The sequence below is a fragment of the Homo sapiens genome, chromosome 4, assembly GCF_000001405.40.
Source record: "Homo sapiens chromosome 4, GRCh38.p14 Primary Assembly".
Classification (NCBI taxonomy): Eukaryota; Metazoa; Chordata; class Mammalia; order Primates; family Hominidae; genus Homo; species Homo sapiens.
The window spans coordinates 89903859-89930880 of NC_000004.12; the positions used below are offsets into that span (position 1 = coordinate 89903859).

The 27022-nt window shown below is 33.3% G+C and overlaps 1 protein-coding gene across 4 annotated transcripts in view; it reads left to right on the forward strand.

Annotated features, from left to right (window-relative positions):
- MMRN1 (multimerin 1) overlaps positions 1 to 27022 on the forward strand; it is a 75104-nt gene that overhangs the window by 24348 nt on the left and 23734 nt on the right. For 3 of the 4 annotated variants that reach the window (NM_001371403.1, NM_007351.3, NM_001410735.1), the window contains 4 exons: positions 5418 to 5537; positions 8086 to 8192; positions 19310 to 19414; positions 23937 to 24110. In NM_001371403.1, coding sequence (NP_001358332.1) covers positions 5418 to 5537; positions 8086 to 8192; positions 19310 to 19414; positions 23937 to 24110 — 506 coding nt within the window. The remainder of the gene's footprint in view (positions 1 to 5417; positions 5538 to 8085; positions 8193 to 19309; positions 19415 to 23936; positions 24111 to 27022) is intronic. The other variant, XM_047449831.1, reaches the window with a different exon arrangement.

Consider the following 27022-nt stretch of genomic DNA (forward strand, 5'->3'; position numbering starts at 1 on the left):
ACTGCCCCCACCCCTCACCCTTGCCTAATTCAGGATTAGAAAAAAAAAAAAAAAACTCTAGGCACAGAAATACACTCTCTTCTTTATTCACACCTATGTGTGCAGTTAAAAGGAGAATAAAAATCTTGTCCAGCAGGCAGAACTTCATCATCAGAAATGACCTTCTAATTCTGATCTACGAGGTGAAAAAAGCATGTATTGATGACAACTCTGATGTTGCCAGAAATGCCTCATTCCCCTCCTCCTCTCTTCTTTTCCCCTTTCCTGTTATTTTGTCCTATTTTTTCATCCTTTGCTCTATTTCTTACTTTTTCTTCTTCAACTCTCTCTGATTTTGACAAGAGATATGCAAAATTATTATTTTTCACTTTGTGTGGCATTTTTTTCAGTATGTATGTATTTATTTATTTTTATTGTGGTAAAATATACATTAAAAAATTTACCATTCTATCCGTCTTTAAATGTACAGTTCTGTGGCTTTAAGTAGGTTCACATTGTTTTGCAGTCATCACTGCCATCTATTTCTGGAACGTTTTCATCTTCCCAAACTGAAGCTCTGTACCCATTAAATAATAACTTCCCATTGCACCCTCCCTACCATCCCTAGCAATCACCATTCTATTTTCTGTCTCTATGAATTTAACCACTTAAGTACATCATATAAGTGAAACTGTACAATATTTGTCCTTTTGTGTCTTGTTTATTTCACTTAGCATAGTATTTTCAAGGTTCTTCCTTTTCAAAGGTTGAATAATACCCCATTTTGAGTGTGCGTGTGTGTCTGTGTGTGTTTGTGTGTGTGATTTTCTTTTTCCATTCATCTGTCAATGGACACTTGAGTTGCCTCTACCTTTCTGTTATTGTGATACATGATATTTTAATGACGTTCTCAAATTAGGGTAGTGTGCTAGGGAGAACATGTACTCTGACTAGTGTTGCTATCTAAAATCTGTTCTATTTTTATTGACTTAGGACACATAGTTTTCCTCAGGGACTTAATAATTGAACCGTTAAAACAAATGAGGGTTTAGCTGAATTTTTTCCCTGATTATTGACACCAATAAAAATAGGTTTGTTAAGATATAGTTACCTTTAAAATTCTATTTTCCTCTTTAAACAAATTATTTTTTACTAAGTGATATTTTTTAAAAAGAGAGGGGGGGAATTATCCACATATGTCAGACTTATAGAGTTGAGAATGAGATGAGCAGGTTGGATTTGCAAAAAGTAGTAAACACTTATAAAAAAATATAAGACTAACTTTTATATATTTAGGATATGTTTTCCCACTTATCACTGAATTGGGTGGGGATTTTATCACTATGGACTTCAGGAGTTTAGTGTAAAATGATGTACAACACTATTATTTCATAATTTTGCCATTAGTAATGGTCAAACAGTTAAGTTTTGTTTGGTTGTATTTTCATGCAATAATAATCTTATAATTAAGATGATAGTATTTTTCATGAGGTAAATTAGGAATAATATGAATAAATTATTCTCTTATGAGGGATCAATATTTTTCTCTCTAAATTAAGTCCCACCAGAGACTTAGTTCTTCCCCTGAAGCATTTATGAATTCATTAATGTATTCATATGTTGTCATTTGCAAACTGTAGTCATTTTTAAGTACAAGGTAAAGAAATGGACATTTGAGATCTTATACTTTCTCAAGTCAGAGACGCATGGGTGGGTATTAGGTGAGGTGTGAGGGGTTATTACTAGAGTCACCTGATAATCTTATTTCTTCAAGAGAATGTTAATTTTCAGAAGCAGCTATGTCTGTCTTGTCCTATTTTGTTTTCCTCTTGTTCCCTTTTAAATCTCTACGTTAAAGGGCATGATGGGAAACAAAGGTCATTCAATCCATAAAGTCTCCCCCAGAAACAAAATCTTCTCCCACTTCTCAAAGAAAATTATATACCATTGGCTTGGTTTATGGTGGCGATTTTATTGTCTTACCTTGACTTCTAATGAACATCCTCAGGACTTGGTATTTTCATACTATTGTGTCAATTAAAGCCACAGTTTATTAATATGAAAGTTTAAGTATTTAGCTTCTTTTGAATTAGATGACAAGCAATCTATTCATCTGGGTTCTAAGAACTAGTATAACTGAATAATGTTAGTTCTTAGATTATCCCTTTATTTCTTGGGAAAATATTCTGTGTGGTCATTATTTAAAGCCATCTTTTTTGCTTCAGTCCTCTCTCACTCAGTTCAGGATAAGAATTGGTATGACTGGGCCATTATTTAGTCAATTAATGGAAGTTTTTTACATTAGTCTTTTCACTAGTTTCCTGAAAGACTGAGTTTCTAAAATGTCAAAATAAAAAATATAGTAAACTGTTTATTTATGATGCCTTCTCTTAGTTCATTATCCACAAGTCTTTGAGTTTTATGAATCATAATAGAATCCTTTCCCCTCTCTATTTTATATGTTCAACAAGCTAGGCATTTGCTCATAACCAAAGATGTCTGCTTTTCCCTAGAACAAACCTTTTACCTATTAACTTGGAAAATCCAAAGAATCAATACAAGCTTTTTTTCAGTACATGTTGCTGCACAAAAGCAACAGAGTTATTACCCTGAAAGAGAATCCCAAATGTGGTCTGCTGGATGGAAGGTTATGACCCCATGGAAAACTAAACACTTCAAAGTAACTGCTCTCCATCCACCATAATCAGTCTAGAAAGGTACAAAGGATTACTAGGTTTAAGCAAAATGCTTGTCTGGGATCATTGCATTTGCCTTTAAACTGCCCATCACCATTTTGCCATGCTTCATTTTCTATTTTTAAACCTACATTTTCAGATAATTTGGCTTTAAAATTATATTTACATTTTTAATATCCCTTAATGAGCTTATTTCATTGGTAGCATAAACCTAATTATGAGTCACACCAGGGGCTCTTTTGCTGTGGATAGTTCTTCTAATTTACCCTGGATCAAAGATTGCTGGGCCATGAGCAGTCTGCTGATCTGCTTCTTTGTCTCCTCAACTATTTTAGTCATGAGATTGTTTTAATATTTAGGATTTCAAAAGGTCTCTGCCAGGTGACACTATCATTTTGCCTCACAGAGAATGAATATACTTTTTTTCTTTTCAAAGCCCTGAGCATGTAGTGACGGTGATACTTGTGTTGTTTCTGCCCCACACTCCCTCCTCCACAGTCATTCAGAGAATGTTCATGTGACAATTTAATTGTGCTTCTGTTGAAGTGAGTCAGTCTCAGTAATTAGGATCATCATTGCATTTGCATGAGGAATCTAGTTAATTTTTTAAAGATCCCTTTATTGTGGTCCTCTCAATTTTAAATCTTTTTATTTTTATTTCTTGCTTTTTCCAGTTCTTTGTTTTACATTATTTTTGCCTCAATTGTCACCAGTGATTTAACAACATGTGCCAGCATGTCTTCTTACTTCTTTAAGGGGCCTGAAATTTTAAACATCACATTCAAAAGAACACAATAAGTTCTGTAGAGCTCAATTTCTCTGCCTTAGATGAATGACAATGTGGAATGATTAAATCAAGCAATTAACATATCTTTTTTTCTTTTTATGTGTTGTTTTCTGGAATTTGTGTATGATGTACTTAAGTGAGGTTTTACTTTGTGTTTATCCTCTTGGAATTCATTAAGCTTCTTAGATATGAGGGTTGATTTTTTTAAAAAACAATTTTAGGAAATTTTCCCTTTTTTTCTTCTCATGTTTATTCTGCCCAATCTTAGGACCACTTCAGTTTTGCTCATTTATGTTTTTGAATTTTTTTCTCTGTACTTCAGTTTGGCTGGTTTCTATTCCTTATCTTCGAGTTTATTGGTCTTCCTTTCTAAAGTGTCCAAATTTCTGTTAAGAACATTCAGTCCATTTTTAATTCACATATTGTATACTTCTCGTTCTATTTAATGGTTAATTGTTTTAAAGTCATGGGTTGCTAATTCCAACTTCTATGTCATGCCTGTTTTTTTGTTTTTTTTTTTTCTATTTACTGGATTTTTACTCCATATACTGGTCCTGTTTTGCTGCTTTTTCTCATAGTTAGTTTTGTCTGCTTTTCATGCTGGGCATTGTGGATACTATGTTATTAGTGTCTGGATTTTGTTGTTTGCAAGCACAAAATAGTATTCAGTCCAAGATTCAAGGGCACCCCTATATTGACTTTTAAAATGATATTTCTGTCTGGCCCCCTCATTTTATTAATCTTTAACACATTTTTTAACCATCCTAGTATCCCCAAACTCAGATCTCTATTTTCTTTACTTGGTGTCTTTTCTGGAATCCATCCTTCTGTGATGCAGTTTGAAAATTGTTCCCAGGCACAAAACTAGATTGAATGTGGAGCTAACATCACATATTTTCCCTCAAGAATCATATCACTGCATTGTCTACTGCCCAACATCTGAAAACTGTTGCTTTATACATCTTGTCCAGATTTATAATTTTTGCCATAAAAGGTAAATCTGATAGTTTATATAGCCAGGGACAAAATTCTCTGAAATTTATGTTTTTAGTTTATTATATGAAAAATTATAGAATAAGCTCATTTAACTCCTTATATCAAGCTAAGATTTGTTGTGAAAATTCATAGAATTTGAAGATTAATTTGAGGAAAATTGACATATTTGCATTGGGTTTCCCATTAATTAACATGATTCATTGGCTTTTTCTTTAAAACTTTTCAATAAAGTTTAAAATTTTTACTTATTAAATCTAACACTTCTTTTGCTGAATTTATTCTTAGGTACATTATTCTTGTTGTTATTTTTTGCTACTGTTAATAGTGTCTTTTTTAATTTGTTGTTGGTACAGAGAAATGTAACTGATCTTAATTTTGTGATTGAATTAATATAAATTAGTATTGTATTAACTCATAAACATTTATATTTGATTACATTGCTGAATTGTCTTTTTAATTATAATAATCGGCATCTAGACCATTTTGCATTTTGTTTGGTTACAATCATATCCACTGCAGCTAATAACAGTTCTTTCTCTTCTTTTTTGATTTTGAAACCATTTATTTACTTATTTACTTATGCTTTACTGCACATAATTTAAAGTAATGGACCCGGATCTGAGTTTTTTATCTCAGTACTAATATTAATATTTGCTACAAGAGCATTCTTGCATTTTGATTTATCTTATAGCTAAACTCTGCAGGTTTCTCATTTTAGCTTTGATTTATTCTTTTCTTTATTTTGATCTTGTTAGTGTTTCCTTATAGTCCCTGAGTACAGCAATACAGTAATAAGTTATTTTCTCTTATATTTAAATATTTTAAAGCTAAATAGCAATCTTACAAGGTTTCTGATCTATAGTATGGCAAAAATAAATGTTTGTCTGTGAAAATAATTTTGATGAAAAGAATTCTTTTTTGACAACAGTTTTTTCCCTAACAATTATGATCTTCTTTAGGAATTGGTGTGCTTATGTACATACCAGGTTATCTCCCACAGTGATATTGGACAACCAGGTCACTTATGTCCCAGGTGGGAAAGGACCTTGTGGCTGGACCGGTGGATCCTGTCCTCAGAGGTATGTAATATTTCTTGAAAATAGCCACTGTTTTTGCACCATAATAAATTATAGCCGGGAATATATAATGTTATTCATGCAAGGTACATAATACATAGTAGGGTCAGGGGATGGTAGTCACATTATGCTTTAGTAAGTGAAAATGCAGACACTAATAATATTTGCCTCATATGGTCATTTTTAGAATCATTTGAGATAATGCAATACTATATTTAGCCTAGTGCCTTGTGCCTTATAAGCATTCAATAAATGTTAATTATCATGCTTATTTCTATTTTTACTATCACTATTACTTTTACTCTATATCTGGTCAACAATCCTGTCCTTAATTGCTTATGAATTTCATGCACAGTTTTGAAGATTTATTATTTTCTCTTCATGCTAGGTCAGAAAGAAGTTTATAACTTGGTTCATATTCTAAAATTAGGAGAGCTTCTAGTTACAATTATGCATGGAAAAGCAGCTAGGTGAAGCTTTTCTTCTTGTGTCTATTGTAATTAGCCATGTCATTTGATTATCATTTTTTAAAAAAGTCTATGCTGTTGTCCTAAAAGATGGGGCTGAGTAATTGATAAATTATCTGAATTCATGTAGTCACCGTAGCTCAGCTGGGGGTGTTTCCAAAGAGCCTGCAATAAAAACTCCAATTGTTATTCAGGCCATGATGGCTAATGTTATGCAAATAGTCATACAAATAACTCAGGCAATGAATCTGACACATGGCAATCTGGAACAGTGCACAATAAGGATACATAAAATCAAGGTGTTTCTTAGTCCCTTGAGGAATAGCTAAGGTTCATGGTCCAGAGACCTAAGCACATCTTAGGGATTTGGGAGAGCTGAACTCTAGTTCTGTTTTCAGCCCTCACTCTCTTTGTGACAATTTCCTTGCCAATACGAGACACAAAGAATGCATTGCTAATTCTTTAGTAATAAAAAATTTACCACAGTAGCCCCTAGCATACTGCCCTTCTGGATTCAAGGTGAGCTCTTTTTATTTTTTTCTTTTCTTTAAACAAACCATAAGTATTTATCTTTATTCTCGAATCTTATCTTTTTTATGCCTTCTGAGTGGGTGCATTCATTCGCTATTTTTAATACTCGTGTCATAATTGCCACTTTTTCTTTTATTATGTCTGAGCTACATGCAACAGATATTCAGTTTGCCAAAGCAGGAACATTGACCCCAACAATAGTTCAACTAACTGCCTGAGCTCATCCTTACAAACTCTATATACAGTCCCTTTCCAAATTGCTTTGCTTCCTACTTAGCTTTAACTATGAGAGTGCAGATAGTATTTCACTAGACAGAATGATTTAGTGAAATAAATGAGGGTAAATGATTAGCATGCTTTTCAGATGGAAGGGATCTTGTAGCTCATTTTGCAACTGACAAATAGCCTCAGACATACTCGGTTACCTGTCATGTTATAGCAGAAACTGAAACGTAAGTCTCTAAAGGCCGGTCTGTTATAATGCTATTGCTCCACATGTTCACGGTTTACCCATGTAGGTGACTGTTGTCTCCATATAGTTGTACGTGGCAAACTCCAGGATAATAACAAGGGAGGCTAGCCCACATGACATGGGCTAAAATCACAGCTCTACCCCTTTTAGATATGGGACTTTGAGAGAGTTATTTCATCTCTCTGTTCTTTGGATTCCTCGTCAGGAAATGAGGATAATAATAATGCCTTCATCATAAACTAAAATGAAAATTAAGCAAGATAGTATGTACCCATTTTACAGACCCATTTGATAAATAGCAACTAAATATTAAAGTCACATGGGTAAGACTAATATGGCCAAATTGTACTTATGACTTACATTTACAAACACACAGAGCTCACAATTTAGTAGCAGTCACTATATTGATTGTTGTGTTGAACTGCTATAGTTTCCATATTTCTTTTCTGCTGTTCTATGGTTTCATCTTAAAAATAAAATTTCCTCATATTACATCCCTTCTCTCTCTCTGTCCTTCTCTCTCTCTCTCAGAGAAATACTATATGACAAAAATAGTAGGTAGCATAATTTCAAAACTTTGAAGATGAAAAATTCCATGGGAAAATGATAGTGGTTGTCATAATTTCAATTAGATCACGAATATCCAATTTGTTTCAAGTTGTTTGATACTGATCTGGAGGAAATACAGATCTTTTTAAATATAACAATATAGGAAATCATATGAATTGAAGTAGAATAAATTATCTCCATATAACTTTAAAATTGGAATGAAAATAAATTTTAACATTGATTTAGCAAGAAGTATTATCAAGAGAAAAGCTATAATATCTTTAGAAAGTCAATGGCAGGTATCAATTTAAAATACCAAATACCATAACTAGTAATGCTTTTTGTAATGTATTGAAAGAAACCTAAGTTAGGCAATAATATTGATGATGAATATTATGATTATAACAGCCGATACTAAATAAATGCTTGTTATATTGTAGGCATTGCCCCAAAAACTTTACATTTATTATTCCGGCTGATAATTTAATGTGAAACAAATAATCGATTTCCCTCCAATTGCTCAACTCTCTAGATCTCAGAAGATATCCAATCCTGTCTATAGGATGCAACATAAAATTGTCACCTCATTGGATTGGAGGTGCTGTCCTGGATACAGTGGGCCGAAATGTCAACTAAGAGGTACACTCTAATATTAATAATCACAATTCTGAACAATAAGAAACTGATTCTATTGAAGAAAAGAATAGCATTTCCCCTTTTGAACCAAGGTAAATTAACATGTAGCCAAACTCCTAGGACTGTTATACTTTCTAAGCTTTCTAACTTGGTAGCTTTTATAACACTCTGAAATCTCATAAGCTATTCTTTAACTTCTCCCCCCATTTTTATGTTGGATTTATATGATGAGCAAATGGAAATCTGATGAAAGATCTTACTTATTCTTAACAACAAGCTATAGAGGCATGCCTTATTAAAATATCAGGAATGCTAATTTTCAATTTTTAAATAAAGTGTTATTAGAAGTGACTCAATATAAAAATAAGACTACCATCTAGTTTTGTTCCAGTTCAGTTATTTGAAATAATGTGCATATGAATGAAATTTAGTATTAAAGGACATACAAGGTATGTCATGAATAATTCTCTCTTTTTCAAAATTCTAATGGAGCTATTTTTTTTTTTTCAGCTGAGGTTTTAAGGACTTTCTGGTGGCAAGGCTGATCAAACACATGGTAACCCGCTGTGGCCTAATATCCATGTGACTATTATTTTGCTTTTGGCTTTAAACAGGTTTCCTTTGAAAAATAAGATACAGCATCAGCATACATATTTTAAATGAATGAATATTACAAGAAAGGCCATTAGCAGTGGTGGGGAATTCAATCAACAGTATAAGAGACTGTGATTAAAAATTAATAAAACTGTGGAGAAACCGTTATGGCTCACATTAAGAAAAAGAAAATTATAATACAAAAGCTCTAGGAATCCTGCATTTTAGTTAGGGATATTATTTATGGTTTTACTAGCCTATACAATGAGAATCTACAGGCAAATTTCACCATAATGCTATTTGTTCTGGGTCTGGCCTGAATTTCAAAGATGTTATAAAAATTCAATTTATATTCAGACTACAGAATGAATATGTACTTCATTTATAACCAGGTAAAATAAACTTTTAAATAAAATATAATCTATGCTGAAAATATTTGGAAATAAGGAATTTAGCATATTTTAAAAAGACCCAAATATGGCCCTGATTTCTGATTTCCATGAAGTACACAAATATATACTCACAATGGTAAAACATATTTGTGTCTAGAATTGGTGAATTGTTAAAAGTTCTGGATAATATTTAGAATTCTGTTTCTGAAATCTGTATTTCTCTTCTTCTACAAAGAAGGATATCATGAGATTATTAATTCCATCATTATTTCTTGATGATTCAAGTTTGTTTGCAGAGCACATTTCTAGAAATTTAGGTTGTTATTACACATCTTATTAGTAGACATGTGGCAGGGAAAAAGTCTACTAATGAAATGTCATGGACTCTAGTTGATCAGAGCGTTGTTGCTCCGTGCTTCAACCTTTTATACTTAGGAATCAATTCTTTATCACTATGGTGGACTACATACATGTAGGAAGAAAATACCAGAACATCACTGTAAATATAGACACAAGAAACAAAGACTAGCTGACAGTTTCAAATATAGACTGTGTCCTGCCACTCTCATTTTTCAAAGTATGATATGAAATATTTATGAATTCAAGTAGTTTAGGGATTGTCTAATGACACCTTATATCCTAATTAGAAGCAACCTGTGGATAGGTTTTATACTAGATTTACAAATCATTGTATTAATTTCCAGTGGCAAAAATGTCCCAGAACAGTTCTGATTATGACCTTCTGTCATAATAGTGTAATTGGAACCACTCATAATTCAGGTATCTGCTGATTAAGCTGTTATTGAAAGGCCTCTTTTCTACGGAAATCTACAATGGGAATAATGTTCCAATGGCAGATATGCATATTGTGTCATATTGTCATACAACCAATTCTAATATAGCTTTGATTCCAAAATAGCCTCCTGTTGCTCTCTGCTATACTTTGACCATTCTACTTTTCACTTTTTAGTGCAGTTGTATTTTCAATGGCTGAATTTTCTATTAGTGCAATTGATGCACTGGTTGTATTAGGAACTACTGTGTCCTTTGTCCCTTGAACCTTCATTATATCTCTCCTGGGAGGATATTTGCACATTTTCCCCTTCTAATAGCTAACCAAATTGCAGTAGGAAGATCTTCTAAATATGCAGGGAATATCACCAGCTCAGGAATAAATTGGAGCTGTTTGCAATTGTACTTTTTTACTTCTTCTCCCCCACTTTTGTACCCTTCTTTCCATTTCTTTCTTTTATACCCTTCTTTCTATTTCTTTGGGGATGTGGATCCATCTCGAAACTGTTAGAAAGAGATGTGGTGACTCAGAATACATGGCGATTCTCTCTTTATTCCACAATATGCTAATCTGCTACGCACGTACTTTAGCTGCAACTCAGATAATCAAAATACTGGTAGCCACAGTTCTAGATTACCTTATAAAAATATTCATCATATTATCAAAAGGAAACCAATTTTTAAAAATCTAAATGAATAGAACTTTATTGGGGGAAAAAAGGAGTACTAAGTCCAACATCAAAGTAATAGTTCTGATATGTTTTACATTTGTTATGTCATTTTCTCTTTTCAAACATATATATTTGTACATAATGAGGAGTGAGTCATCAAAGACAGTTTGCACAAGGGTTTTGCCTTTAGAAAGGACCTAATTTTGTGATATGGTATTCAAGATACTTTTCAAAAAGTCAGCAGTAACATACACTTAAATCTGTTTTATAAAATTTGCAATAATGCTCTTTTCCAGTAGATGTCTCTAAAATATTCTGAAGTGGAACAAGGAAAGTGTGACTTGCTTTAATGACACAAAGGGCAATGATTTAAATACAAATAGTGTTAGATTACAGAGGATGAAGAAAACTTGTTTGCAAATCTGTTTTTAAAAATCCAGTGGCTTTAATCATCAGATCCTTTATAGGAAAAAGGTATCTTATAACATTCTGTTTTGTACTGCAGATATTATGAATGCTGACAAAATGTGAGCATGTACAAGTGCTGAAATAAACTGGCCCCTACCATATGTTATGAATATATAAAAAATATTTGGTTTTACAAATGCTGGGAAATCATGCAATAAATTATATAAGAGCTACTGTAACTAACATTTGAATATGGGGCTCCTCCAGCAGGAGTATTTTAAAATGCATTCCCTGTAGTTTTGCATATCTAGTTCTTCCCAGCAGTAGCAAATGCTTTCTTCTTTGAGAAAGAACATTACCTCCTCTAAGAGTCTTTCACAATAAAATTATGATGCATTTAGTGAAGAACACTCTGTACCATAAGTGGTTGTTGCACCAAACTGCCTACTTCAATTTACCTAGTAAATCTCAGTAAAGCTTAACATGTACACCGAACATTCACCATGCAAGTTTTCACTTGATATTGAGGGATCAGCTGGAAATCTGTCTCCTCAAGCCACACAGGAAGGTTTTCTGGTTCTGAGTGAGAGAGAGCAAACATCCTCATTACTGAGTTGCCATTAATGACATCCTCCATATGGCTCAAAGGTCTGGAAGGAAAACAAAAAAAACTTGCAAATAAAATCCATCTAATTAAAAAAAAAAGCATCTAATAAGGAAGCTGTTGCTCCTACTGTAGACACTTGCTGACCTTGCTTCTCTAAGTCGTTGATCTGTCAAGGTCAGGGCTTCCATTGCAAGGGGAAAAAAAGAGAGTAACTGTCCTGGGAGAAAAGCAAAAAGGAATCCAACTTAAAAAATATATTGCATTTTAAAAAAATCTGAAATGCACAAACATCTTTAAAAATTTAGTTGACTGAAATAAATGTCCTTCTGTCCCTGTACCTATCGCTTAGAAGGGAACAAGAAAAAGAAACTTAGAAATCTGTCCTGTATGGAACAAAGCAAAGGTCTGTGCTCAAGTGAAAGACAGATTGCTTGGAAAACCTAGAATCTGTGGCAGTCCTTGTGATAGAGAATACATTTGGGGAGACAGAAAGATTGCTAAATGAAAAAACAAAAGAGCATCAATCAACGAGGCTCTTTATCACAAGAGAGTAACTGACTCCACTGTCAGAGATCCTATCAGCTCTTTGCTGTGGCTGGTTAAATCCCGTGTAATAAATTGGGATGAATGCAAGTACTGAACTCCAGTCAACAAACAAAGGTAGGGAAAGATAACATAAACTATTGAATTTGTAAAACAGGCATTTCAAGTTTTCAACAGCCTTGGCAGGGACTCCATCCAATGAATTCCGGAGCAAAGAGATTCATGTGACAATTGGATCTCAAGGATCTTTGTGTGATGCTTAATAGTTGTTTCTTTTATTCAGGAGTACAGTTTTCTCACTTAGATTCTGAAAAAAAAAAAACAAACAAACAAACAATAAATTTAACAATGCTGCTAAAAGCAAATGGGAAACTTTATGAACATGCATGTGCCCACATGCAATTACATTAATTTTTGACATTTAATACTAAAAAAGTTAATCACATTTTCTTTCAAATTAGTGATGTTGAAACTATAAAATATGAAAAAAGCTTAATTTTTCTCATTTTATATATATTATTTTCATATACTGAGGAATGAATCATCAAATTTTAGTGTGCAGGAAAACTAGATTTTCACTTGATACTTCTATGTATGTTTATTTTTTATCTTTTTCAATTGCTTGTTTTTTTTCTTTCTGACAGCTTTTCAATTTACTCTCTCCTCTCCTTCTTCTCACTGATTTTAAAGTTTTTTCTTACGTTTTTGGTTACTATTTTCAATCTATTGATTATCTCCCGCATATCACTGTCTATTCCCTTTTTTAATGGAATAACATTTTCCAAGATCACATGAATGATATATGTCTCAAATTCTTTTGACCCTGAGGTCAATAGAAAATTAAACTTTGATGCTCTTCATTTGCTTCCTTTCTATTCTTGACACTTTACCTCTCACCTAGGTAAATTTTTACTTCTTGAACATTCAGGATCTTTCCTAGACTGGGTAGCACGGAGGGAACTATATCTTGATGACATGCTCCTACTGAAGTCTCAAATAGGATCCTAGAAGAGTTAAAATCCCCCCACACATCCTCGTGTGTGTGTTTGTGTGTGTGTGTATGTGTGAAAGAGACAGAGAGAGCCCTTGCCCTTGTTTCCCCAGTCTTTGAAGGATGTTAAGTAAAACATTGTTATAATCTTCATATTAAATATGCAGCATGTAATACTTTGTAAGAAGTAAAATTAAGAGACCTGATTACAATTCCATTATAAAATGCAACTTAAAATAACATGTCACTATTTATAATAAAGCTTTACCAAAGTATTTTGAACCCCTGGAAATAAATCCTGTGTAAAATGCTTTTGTGATTTGTATTGAGGTCTCTCCACTTCGGGATCACGAGCACCCAAACCAATCTGCCTCTTGATTATGATGATTGGTGGGAAGGGGCAGCAGCCACAGTCAATATTGTATATAAATCAAAAATTAAGAATGCATTACTTTTTATTTTCTTAAATTAGAGCATTGTCTATAATACAGTCTAAAACTACAGACCAAGTAATATACATCATACCAAAAATCACTCATATCATTCTAATAATTTCTAAGCAATTTATTGATTTCTACAAATTATATTGATGTCGTCTTTCTTTTGCCATGGATGATACCAGCTAAATGATGTCCTTGTCAGAGAGGTAATTTAATATAGGGAACCCTCTCAACCTCCTTTAATGATTTACCCATCAGATTTAGAGTCACTGGGTGACATGAGGTCTCAATAAGTTTGTAATTTTATTAACATCAGTTAAATTATCCTCCTGCTGAATTATCTATTGGGCTTTCCTGAATAAAAAGTGATTGCATTCAATTTTTATCAGCACTTAAATACTGTGTGTATTTTTGAATGTTTACTGTCTTTATTATTAACTAAATCATGAAAATTCTTATCTAAATATCCTATTTAATTAGTTTATAGAGCTTTGTTAACGTCATTAGGCCAAATTCATCTGGCAGCATAAATCAATGAATATTTATTGCATTTTTTTAGTTTTGTCATATAAATTTTATTTTCAAACAATTCATTAGAAAATCTTTTTCTTACATAATTGGCCTTTTACTAATTTTTGTTTCAAATAGTATATATACATCTATATATTTCAATTAATATATATTCATTTAAAATAGAATATATAAGTTTCAAATGTATATTTATAGAATACATGAAATTTTTATATCTATACTATCTTTGATCAGTTTTTTAACTATCTCCAGTTTAATAAGGGGAATTTTCTTTTCTCGTAAAGCTGAAAAAGGATTGGCATTTCTGTTAGAGTGTCATCTCTGAAAATCAGTTATTTTTTAAAAAAGTCTATTTTCCAAATGTTAAATTTCACAATTTATATGAAAGTGAATTCATAGGGCTTGATATAATTTACAAAATGCCTTTTTAGCTGTAACATCACAGGCTATCTTTGAAGTCCAAATATTCTTCCAATTTTTATTATTTTAATTTTTAGCATGTGCTCTTGCTTTCCATCTCTCTTTCCATCTTTCTCTCTCCCTCTCGTCTACTTTTATTGTCTCTTCTTTATTTGATATATAGCAGTAAATATGAAATTCATCTAGAAAAGATTTCAAGTGTTTACTTGATAACACATTATACTTTCAGTCAGAAATATTTGAATACAGTAGCTTATAGTGCCAAAATTTTTAAAAAGCAGAAGTCTATCTAAAACTTTGCCTGGAACTCCTGGTTTACTTTTTCACTATTATTGCACAGGCTTCACCTATGTAAAAAATTAAATTTTCACATACACAAATTTTGTGGAAAATTCCTTTCTCAAGTGTTCATATGTATTACTACATTACTAATGTAGCATTAAAGATGTTTTTCCTTCTAATTTACTGAGATTTAAAAAAATTAACTGCTTTAAAATTCTTGATTTTTACGTTTTAGGAAAATTATGAAAATACTTGTATATGAAAGAGTTCAAGTTTCATTAATAATACTTTTAAATTTTATTAAGTTGACTTTTAAGTTTTCTAAGAAGTTGTCTTACAAAAAGCAGTATCATAAAACTCATTTGCAATGATATTCCTAGATCAGAATTATTATATTAGGTAAGTTCTGTAATACTTTTCTTTTCTAAAATGCTCTATTATTTTTAAATGCTCTTATTATTTTAAAAAAGAAATAATTTAAAATTCTGATTTTTTCTAAATATTTTATTATTTTATGGGCACTTTATTAACATTATCGGATAAAGTATTTTTTAAGTTTTTTACTTCAATTGATTTCATTGAACATTTTTATTATTAGGAATACTTATTTTGTGAGGCTAATTTCATAACATTTTTTAATATTTTCTTCATGATTCATGGTTGCAAACGATCTTTAACATAGTGGGTGAATGCCATTATGATGAAAAATGAGTCTAATAATTTTATTTCTATATTATACAAATTTGTAGGATTGTTTGAATCCAACGTTTACCTAGCAAGAAAAAATAATCTACCAATATTGAAAATCAAGTTGATTTTCATTCCAGAAATGTAACTTATTTATTTTATATTGAATTTATTTTTTATAATTATTTGGTATTATTTAGATGTTGTACATATTAAAAGATGTTCCAGACTAACTGAGTTTGCAGAGTATCATTACCTAATTTAGGACTAGGTTCCTAAGTGATACAATTTTTGTTTTATTCTCAGATTCAAAAATTCAAAAAATTCATACTCAAGATACCCGAAACAAATGCTTTTAAAATTTGGTTAAACTTTTGTTTCTTTTTCAGTGTCTTTGATAATTTACTATAAACTTCTGGACCATAATTATCAAATAACTATGCATTTAGAACAATTAGCACATGCTAATAAGTAAAATAAATTGAGCATCAAACTATTCAGAAGTTGTAGCAAATACAAAAATCATAAGCAATGATAAACTGTTCATTCTACTAAAACACTGACTGTTTCACAAAATCTATGCACTGCCTGACATCAGTCCAACAAAATGCTAATTCTGAAAAATAGTTTTCAGATGTTGCCACAGTAGGAATTCCATTCATCACATATCCTACAAAATACATCCTTTATCATGTATCCATGATTAACTTGTAATTAGTTAATATTATAATTTGTATAACTCAGCTTGTCAGTTATTGGACTTCAGCATTATATATTTGCCAACAGTTGTGGCTTTATTATATTTCAATATTTTAACAATTGGCCGACCACATTGCTACATACTGGCAAAACACAATCATGGAGTTGGGGAATGTGCAATGTTGCTAGATGGGAGTAAGGAGCAACAGTCTGGCTTTTGAGTGGAAAGTGATTTTATTTCTGAGACATTCTAAAATTGTCATTGGGCTGTAGATTTGATTGCTGTGAAGGCAGCACAAACACTCTTCATATGTTTCCATGCTTAACAGTGCCTCTTTAGGGATCTTGTGTTATAACAATAGAAAGAATGGTAATATCTGCATGAGGAAATCAGGAAGCTGTGAAAGGTACCTTCCACCCCCATCCCACTTCACTTACTCTTTAAGGAATTGTATGAGACTCAAGGTTTTCATTTCTTAAACTTTATTAAATCTGTCTTCAACACACACCTTTGTTATTAACAGGAATGCTGTTTAAAAGTCTATGAAGATTGATTTCTGGATTGCAATTTTAGTATTAATATATCTAGTATTTTCTGCATTATAACAATGAATTTACCTCTTAGAAGTAGAAAGCTTAGCAATTTGTTCAAAATTAGTGTTCCTAACCAGGGCCATATATAGAAATCACCTGTAGAGTTTTGTTTTTTTTGTTTGTTTGTTTTTTTTAAATACGCACCTGCCCCATTCCTCAAAATAGAGCTACTGAATGAGAATCTCAGGTGAGGGAGTGGAAAGAACATGGACACTTAATGTTTCAAAGTATACAGGAACTTCTCATTTCCATCTACGAGGAAAAAAATCAGTATTCTAATGGGATGTAAAGAAATATGTGTTATAATAAAAGTTAATGATAGAAAAGGAAATTCGAATAGTAATCTTGTTTGTATTCAACAAAACAATATTATCTTTGCTTTCACTATAATTATGCTTCCCTTCCTAACAAAGTATCCACAGCCTACTGAGTTATGGTACTACCTTCAAATGCACCAGCTCTTTTTTTTTCCTATGATCTAGCCAAAAAGGTAAGCAGCAAATAAATGAAAAGATCATTGTTCATCCTGTTAAATTCACCTGTTCTTACTGCTATAAATATTTATAAGTTAGTATCCTTAACATTCATATTTAAATTAATAGATCTAAGGTGGGACTCTAGAAGTTCTACCTCCAAAAGTTTCCAGGTGATGCTCATACTGCTGATTAAAGGACCCCAGTCTGAGAACCATTGCTTTACTCTCTAGTTATACTCTTGGATGGATGTACATTTAAGCTGCCAGAATAAAATGCCTTAGTACACCATTTAAGGAGGAATCGTGATAAAAATTTATGCAATGATTAAATGGTTGTATCTGTATGAATTAATTTAAACTTACACTATAATAACCTTATTGCTAGGTCTTAGAAGAAGATTTACACTTTTCCCCACGCAATCCATCCCCTAAATAATTACACTATTCCCCAAGCTGCAGATTGCTTTTGTCCATCAGATAAGTCAACAATTACACAGGACTTTATAGAATACAGCAGAGGAAATGAAAATCAAAAAGAAACAGCATCAAAACAAAAATCTTGGACATGAATGGAAATTCATTAATTTAGCTCAATGCCCTGAAGAAAAACAATGCAAAATTCAATCTAACAATATAGACTCACCCAAATTAATGCCAAATATACTTCCTGTGGAGTAGAGAAGCTTAAGTATTATAGTCAAAGCCACATATGGCTTAGGGAGCATAATTAACATGTGCCAGAGATGCAGAGTTTCATTGGTTCATAAACTCACCTGGGAAGAAGCACGGCTAGACACAAAACACTTGTTTCCTCATGTCTGTCATGCAGACTTTAATGGATAAATTTGTTTGTTAGAAGTCTGCAAATTAAAGCCATATTATTTGATGTTCTCAATATTTTATTTTATTTATTTTTATTTTAATTATTGATTGATTGATTGATTGATTGATTGGCAGAGTCCTGCTCTATCCCCCAGCTGGAGTGCAGTGATGCCATCTCGGCTCACTGCAACCTCCGCCTCCCGGGTTCAATAGACTCTCCTGCCTCAGCCTCCCAAGTAGCTGGAATTACAGGCACCTGAGCCACCACATCTGACTAATTTTTGTATTTTTAGTAGAGACGGGCTTTCACTATGTTGGCCAGGCTGGTCTTGAGCTCCGACCTCAAGTGATCCACCTGCCTCAGCCTCCCAAAGTGCTGGGATTACAGGTGTGAGCCACCGCACCTGGCCTGTACTCAATATTTTAAATAGATCATTTCTCTAAATTGTTTTCCCCAATGAAAAACTATATTGCCATTTAAAATATTATTTGATTCATGGGAATTATTACTTGCCATTTAAAATATTACTTGATTCATGGTAAATTCTTCAGTAGAGTAGATTTATTTTACAAGAATTTCTATTGAAATTTCACTGACTTTACCAGTTGATTTGCTTGAAATGTGCCTGCAATAGTTTACTTTTATTTTTAGTCCAGTTTGAGACTATCAAAATCTGGAAACAATCCATTTAAGTGGCACTATTAATGAAATAGCTATTTTTATTTTAGTAAGGAACCTGTAGCTCTCCCTTTTTTCCAAGTAGACACCAGTTGGGAATTGCCTTGTTAAACAATCAGCCTTTGTGGCAGTCCACTTATAAGAATGCTATAGCTTTTAACACAGCGGATTTAAAAATCCCCTCAATTATGCAGGCAATTTACATCTGCTAGTTTACACAGCTCCTCCAAACTACCATCCCTTTTCACGGAAAGGAGGCCTGAATAATTTTATTTTTTTTTCCAAGCAGAATTAGAGTCCTGCATTTCCCACTCCAATGTGGTGTTGCATTGCCCTATGGTTGGGGGCGGAGCAGCTTACTCTGCAATCATCCCCGACCATCATGCTTCAGTACGCGGGAAAATGAATGTCAGCCAAATTATTGTTCAGGACTGGAAAAAATGAGGCTGTCCCAGTGCTTAACTGTCTCTCTTCTCTTTCTGCTTCCTTCTAGCCCAGGAACAGCAAAGTTTGATACACACCAACCAGGCTGAAAGTCATACAGCTGTTGGCAGAGGAGTAGCTGAGCAGCAGCAGCAGCAAGGCTGTGGTGACCCAGGTCATAGATTGTAATTACTATCATCTCTGACCCAATTATTGTCAATGCTATTTATTACAACTTCCAAGCAAGAAATCTCTTAGTTGTCAAATGATTGATGGTGACACATTAGCATACTTCTCAGTCCTTTTCTACTGGTGCTGGATGTTGGGAGAAATTGTGGATAAGCTATAATAGGTACTGAAAAGACCATGTATAACTACAGAAGCTTTGTGTGCAAACACAGAAAGAATAAAAATGCTGTGATACTAGGTTGTAAGGAAACCACAGTTTTCCAAAATAAGACCAAACTTTTGTTCTCCAAAGAGTGTCATTATGGAAGACCCTTGACATGGAAGGAACAACTTATTCTTTTAAGGGATCTAAGAAGGCTCTCTTCAATTCATTAATAAGAGGTTGCTTAATGGGTACTGATCCCTAAGAAATGGGATTATGACTAAGAATCAACAAGAACCTCCTGCTGATCCAAAGTTGGCATGTCACATATTTTTCCATCTTTCTAATCAGTTTTTGCCATTTCTTTTAGGCTAAACTTTAGCTTTTACAAACATAAGGTTGGTTACTGCTAAAAACATCTATTCACTGTGTTTGGCATGGATCTAGTCATACAAAACAAGGCACTCAATTAAGAAATGTGACTTAAAGGGCTGTCTTTAAGAATGCAGCTGAATATCCCTTAACAATGGTGGTGTAATTTTTTAAGGGATTGAAATTCAGTATCTTTATAAAAGACCATAATATTCTTGAATTACTGCAATACATGTGTAAAGGGATAGACAGTATTATTGCTATATAAAGTGATTCAAACTAAATTATGAGTCTCTTTATCTTTGATTAACGAATACCTCAGTAAACAATAAAATTCTCAGAACATAGCTACAACTACATACATATATCTAGCTGCATATTTTAAATGCTGAGGTATTGAATTTGGAAGCAGAAGATGAGCCATCAGCTCTGTAACTGCGAGCAAGTTATTTTGGATTTCTGCCCCTTTGTTTCTTTTTGAGAGTGTAACAGTAACTCTTTGAAATAATTTTTTTAAAACACTGAAAATTCTGGGAAAAGTTAAAACATTTTAGAAATCTAAGCTATTATACTACTCTTTACAAATTTCTACACTTAGTCTTAACATTCAAGTTGCCATTTCCTGAATGAATATAGTCTTGTATTTTCAAATGTATTCCTGCAAATATAGTTTGTTTGAATTACCTTCAAACCTATCATGAAATTTAAGTGATTTTTAAATATATATATATTAATTTTTAATTAAAAATTTAAGTGATTTTAAGCTGGGCACAGTGGCTTATGCCTATAATCCCAGCAATTTGGGAGGCCGAGGCGGGTGGATCATGAGGTGAGAAGATCGAAAACATCCTGGCCTATATGGTGAAACCCCGTCTCTACTAAAATAAAAAAAAATTAGTCTAACGTGGTGGTGTGTGCCTGTAATCCTAGCTACTTGGGAGGCTGAGGCAGGAGAATCGCTTGAACCCGGGAGGCAGAGGTTGCAGTGAGCCAAGATCATGCCGCTGCACTGCAGCCTGGTGACAGAGCGAGACTGTCTCAAAAATAAAAAATTAAAAATTAAGTGTTTTTAAATATATATATTTAACTTTCAGTTTTTGTGGGTACATAGTAGGTGTATGTACTGTTTTGATACAGGTACACAATGTGTAATAATCACATAATGGAGAATGAGGTATCCATCCCCTCAAGCATTTATCCTTTCGGTTACAAACAATCCAATTATATTCTCTTAGTTATTTTAAAATGTACAATTAAATTATTATTGACTATAGTCACCACATTGTGCTATTAAATAGTAGATCTTATTCATTCTTTCTTTTGCTATTCTTTTTTATTATTTATTTATTTATTTATTTTTAGAGACAGGGTCTGCACCCAGGCAGGAGTGCAGTGGAGTGATCATGCATCACTACAGCCTCCATCTCCAGAGCTCAACCAATCCTCCTGCCTCAGTGCCCAAGCAGCTGGGAATACAGGCACGTCCCACCATGCCTGGTTAATTTTTTTTTTTTTTTTTTTTTTTTTTGTAGAGACGAGGTTTAGCCATGTTGCCCAGGCTAGTCTTGAATCTCTGGGCCAAAGCAATCCACCTGCCTCAGCCTCCCAAAGTGCTGGGACTACAGCCGTGAGCCACTGTGACTTAGTCTCTAACAATTTTTTTATACCCAAATAAAAAACAAATTTTTATTTATATTTTTAATATATATATATATATTTAATTTTTAATTAAAAATTTAAGTGGTTTTAGGCTGGGTGTGGTGGCTCACGCCTGTAATCCCAACACTTTGGGAGGCCAAGGCGGGTGGATCACGAGGTCAGGAGATCAAGAACATCCTGGCCAACATGGTGAAACCCTGTCTCTACTCAAATAAAAAAAATTAGCCACACGTGGTGGCATGCACCTGTAGTCCCAGCTACTGGGAAGGCTGAGGCAGGGGAATCGCTTGAACCTGGGAGGTGAACCATCCCCACCTCACTCCAATCAGCCATTATCCTTCCCATCCTCTGATAACCATCCTTGTACTCTCTATCTCCTTGAGTTCAATTGTTTTGATGTTTAGATCCCACAAATACATGAGAACATGCGATGCTTGTCTTTCTGTTCCTGGCTTATTTCCCTTAGCATAACGATCTCCAGTTCCATCCATGTTGTTGCTTTGTTTTTTATGGCTGAATAATACTCCATTGTGTATATATACCACATTTTCTTTATCCATTCATCTGTTGATGGTCATGTATGTTTCTTCCATATCTTGGCTATTGTGAATAGTGCTGGCAATATACATGGGAGTGCAGATACTTCTTGGATATACAGATTTCCTTTCTTTTGTGTGTATACGTGGAAGTGGGATTGCTAGATCATATGGTAGCTCTATTTTTAGTTTTTGAGGAACCTCCAAACTGTTCTCCGTAGTGGTTGTACTAACTTACATTCCTACCAACAGGGTATGGGGGGGTTCCCTTTCTCCATATCCTTGCCAGCATTTGTTATTTCCTGTCCTTTGGATATAAGCCATTTTAACTGAGGTGAGATGATATCGCATAGTAGTTTTGGTTTGAGTTTCTCTGATGATCAGTTATGTTAAGCACCTTTTTATATGCCTGTTTGCCATATGTATGTCTTCTTTTGAAAAATGTATATTCAAATCTTTTGCCCTGTTTTGATTGGATTATCGGGTGTTTTCCTATAGGCTTGTTTGACCTTCTTTTATATTTTGATTATTAGTCCCTTGTCAGATGGGTGGTTTGCAAAGATTTTTCTCTCATTCTGTGGGTTGTGTCTTGACTTTGTTGGTTGTTTCTTTTGCTGTGCAGAAGCTTTTTAACTTGATGTGATCCCATCTGTCCATTTTTGCTTTGAGTGCCTGTGGTTGTGGGGTATTACTCAAGAAATTTTTGCCTAGACCAAATGTCCTAGATACTTTCTCCAATGTTTTCTTATAGTAGTTTCATGTTTTGAGGTCTTAGACTTAAAGAGCTAATCCTTTTTTATTTGATTTTTGTGCATAGTAAGAGACAGAGGTCTAGAGTCATTATTCTGCATATGGACATCCAATTTCCCCAGCACCATTTATTAAAGAGACTGTCTTTTCCCTGGTTTTTGGCACCTTTGTTGAAAATGAGCTCACTGTAGATACATGGATTTGTTTCTGGGTTCTCTATTCTATTCCATTGGTGTATTTGTCTATTTTTATGCCAGTACCATACTGTTTTGGTTACTACAGCTCTGTGTTATAATTTGAAGTCAGGTAGTATGATTCCTCCAGTTGTTCCTTCAGTTGTTCTTTTTGCTTAGGTAAGCTTTGGTTATTCTGGGTCTTTTGTTGTTCCATATAAATTTTAGGATTTTTTTTTTTGTATTTCTGTGAAGAATGTCATTAGTGTTTTGATAGGGATTGCATTGAATCTGTAGGTTGCTTTGGATAGTATGGACATTTTAACAATATTTATTCTTCCAATTCATGAACACGGCATATCTTCAATTTCTTTCATTAGTGTTTTATAGTTTTCATTATAGTGACCTTCCACTTCTTTGGTTAATTGAATCCTTATGTATTTAACTTTGTGTGTGGCTATTGTAAATGAGATTACTTTTTTTTCTTTCTCAGATTATTCACTGCTGGCATATAAAAATGCTACTGAGTTTCATATGTTGGTTTTGTATCCTGCAATTTTACTGAATTCATTTATCTATTCTAATAGTTTTTTGGTGGAGTCTTCAGGTTTTTCCAAATATAAGGTCATATCATCTGCAGAGAAGGATAATTTGACCCCTTCCTTTCTAATTTGAATGCCCTTTATTCCTTTGTCTTGTCTGATAGCTCTAGCTAGAGCTTCTAGTGCTTTGTTGAAAAATAGTGGTGAAAGTGAGCATCTTTGTTGTGCTCCAGCTTACAGAAGAAAGGGTTTTAGTTTTTCTCCATTCAGTATGATACCAACTATGGGTCAAAATATATTTTTTAATGGTCTCAATTTTCTCTTCTATATGCAGAAGTGATGCAAAAAATGACTGATCAGGTGAACTACCAGGCAATGAAACTGACTCTTCTGCAGAAGAAGATTGACAATATTTCTTTGACTGTGAATGATGTAAGGAACACTTACTCCTCCCTAGAAGGAAAAGTCAGCGAAGATAAAAGCAGAGAATTTCAATCTCTTCTAAAAGGTAAAAATGAAATAAAATAAAATATTCATTCAGTAACACAGAAAGCAAATGATTCATTTTTCTTTTCTTACATCACTTTGGGATCTTTGCTTTAGTTTGGGTGGTATGGAAACCTAAGAAAGATTTTTTTTAATGAGATATAAATTCACTAAAATTCTGAAATAATTTGAAATATCTACATTTTATTATATATACTGAAGTCTTTGACTGAATATTCCATTTGGTTGATAAACATGATGTCTCTAACTATAGCCTAACATATTCATTTTTAGTTAAAGTGAGTCATATTAATTTACTTCCATTGTGTTATCTACTTCAAGAATAAAAACGCAGTTAGGGGATCAAGATAGCTAGTTGCATGGTTGTCTCAATACTATTGATGGAGACATTGAGGATAAATCTGAAGTGCATTATTATCCCCCAAATTTTCTAGGTTATGGTGTAAAATCTATTAAATATATCCTAAAACATTCCAGCTATTATTAATATTAAAGAATAATAATTTATATATGTGAATAGGCTTTGCCTGAATTTTGTGCTCTTCAAACAGTGGGCTTAAAAGCAGGCTATGTTTCTTTCTGGAGGATCAACAGGATAATCCATTTCCTGCTAATCCAAGATGCTGGCAGAATTCATTTTCTTGCAGTTGTAGGACTGAGGTCTCTGTTTTCTTGATGTCTGTAAACTGAGGCCCATTCCCAGCTTCTAGAAGCCACTGCATTTCTTGACTCATCATCCTCCATCTTTAAAGCCAGCTACATTGTGTTGAGTTCTCCCTGCATCTTTCTGACTATGTAACTCCGTTGGACCTACCTGGATAATCAGAAAAATCTCTCTATCTCAAGGTGCTTAACTTTAATCACAGTTGCCAAGTCCCTTTTGCCATGTAAGGTACATATTCATGGATACAGGGAATTAGCATATGGACACCTTGGGGGAAAGGGGTGTGTATTATTCTGCCTACCACAGAGATTTATGTATAGTGAGTAATTGTTATGATAGTGTTATACACAGGATACAATGGGACCACTTGACACTTGCAACAAATCCAATCTAAGGGGACCAGGGAAAGCGTCTAGAAAGAGAAACCATCTCAATTGATGTTAACCATGCAGAAAGGTTTCGGGTAGGGCAAGGATGTTCTAGGCATGCAGTTAGTTTGATTCCTGGGAGCGTCCCAGTCGGGTTTATTGTATGAAACTTGTCTGTTTGCAAGTTTCAGGATTACTGTTTTTTTTCCTTTTGCTTTATTCATTAAAAAACTCAGTGTACAACCCAATTTTTATCATTCACAAGTTATCTTTTCTCTATTGATTTAAAAAAGATAAATAGGTGGATATTTAATATATCATCTACCAGTATGGATGCTTACATAGCTCAACAACAATTATGTTTTTTAATCATATAAATAATTGCTGCTACTCAACCACTAAAAGAAAGACCCTGTCCTACATATCTGGTATGGCCCAACCTTACCAATGCTGAGCATGAGAAGGAAACATTTTTCCCCCCTGAAGTGACAGCATGAGAAAGAAGTCAAATAGAAACAGTATGTAATTGACTATAACCATCTGAATGAGATTTGTTTAGCAAGATTTGGTTCTCATGACCTAACAGAATTAGCCTGTCAACTGTTTTTTTGTGACCTACCAGCCTACTACAAAGATTCTGGCACTGACACAGGAGAAAAATCACACACTCACAGCAACAGCATTAATAATGAAACTCCCTCCGCAATAGGAGGAATTAATTGTGTACTGAGCACAGTCATTAATTATAAGAACCAGAGGGCTTGTAGTTAATGAATATTCTTACAGGAAACAAAAACTAAACCCACCTCCAAGGTGCTGTGCTTGCCTAGCGAAACCACAGCTTCCTCCCTAGTTTACTTTACATCCAAGGTGAAAAACACTGCGTAATCTGACAGTAGCCATAGAAACTGTTGAAAATCAAATGTCTCAACTCCGTAAGAGGAGGTGGATACCTTAAGAGGTACCTAAATGTTATTAAAAGGCCATACATTCACAATTACAGAAGGTGAATGCTAAGGTATCTGATATCAAATATATCTGGTAAGTCACCAAATGTAATATGCTTCTAAGAAAGTGGAAGCATATGAGTCACAGGAAACAGAAACAAACAGAATTAAAATGATGTGCCCACTCAACTATTAACATAAAGCACTTTGACATGTTCTTGGGAAATCAGATTCTTGTACAGATGCTTGTTTAGTAACAAATTGTAGAAATGTTACCTGAAAAGCTTCTGATCCCAAAACACATTTTTAAGCTAATAATATGTTTAATATCTTTTCAGACATTGCTGTGATTTTGCACTTTCTTCAAAGTATTTTTCCATAAAAGTGTTAAAGTGTAACAGCTAAAGTAATTTACATTACTCATTTTCATTGTTTTTTCTCCCAATTATGTTGATCAAGATTTTGTGCTGAGTTTTTGCTTATTGTTTTTCTTATTAGGACTTTTAGGCATGTAGTTTTTTGTTTGCTGAAGTTAAACATTTATTGTCATTGTCCACAACTAATAAATTCAATAAAGCCTAAATTTTATTGTACCTTTCAATCTTGAAAAACTGTAAGATTATAAATTTAAAGAAGGTCGAATCTGAACCTTAAATATTTTATTATATTTCATCAAGCTTTTGATGTCATGAGAATTAGAGTCATTTTTAACTAATGGGAAATGACTAAATGTTCTTATAGAAAGAGTAATATTAATATTACTATTGAATAGTACCTTACACTCAATGATACTTACATATTCTTTTTTGTAAGACCAGAAATCGAATTTTCTAAATTTTACTTACTCTATATAGCATATAGAATGTATTTCATCAATATTTATTGAATAAATGGGTGACTGGTTAAATGCTAAGCAAAATGTAGAAGATAAAAA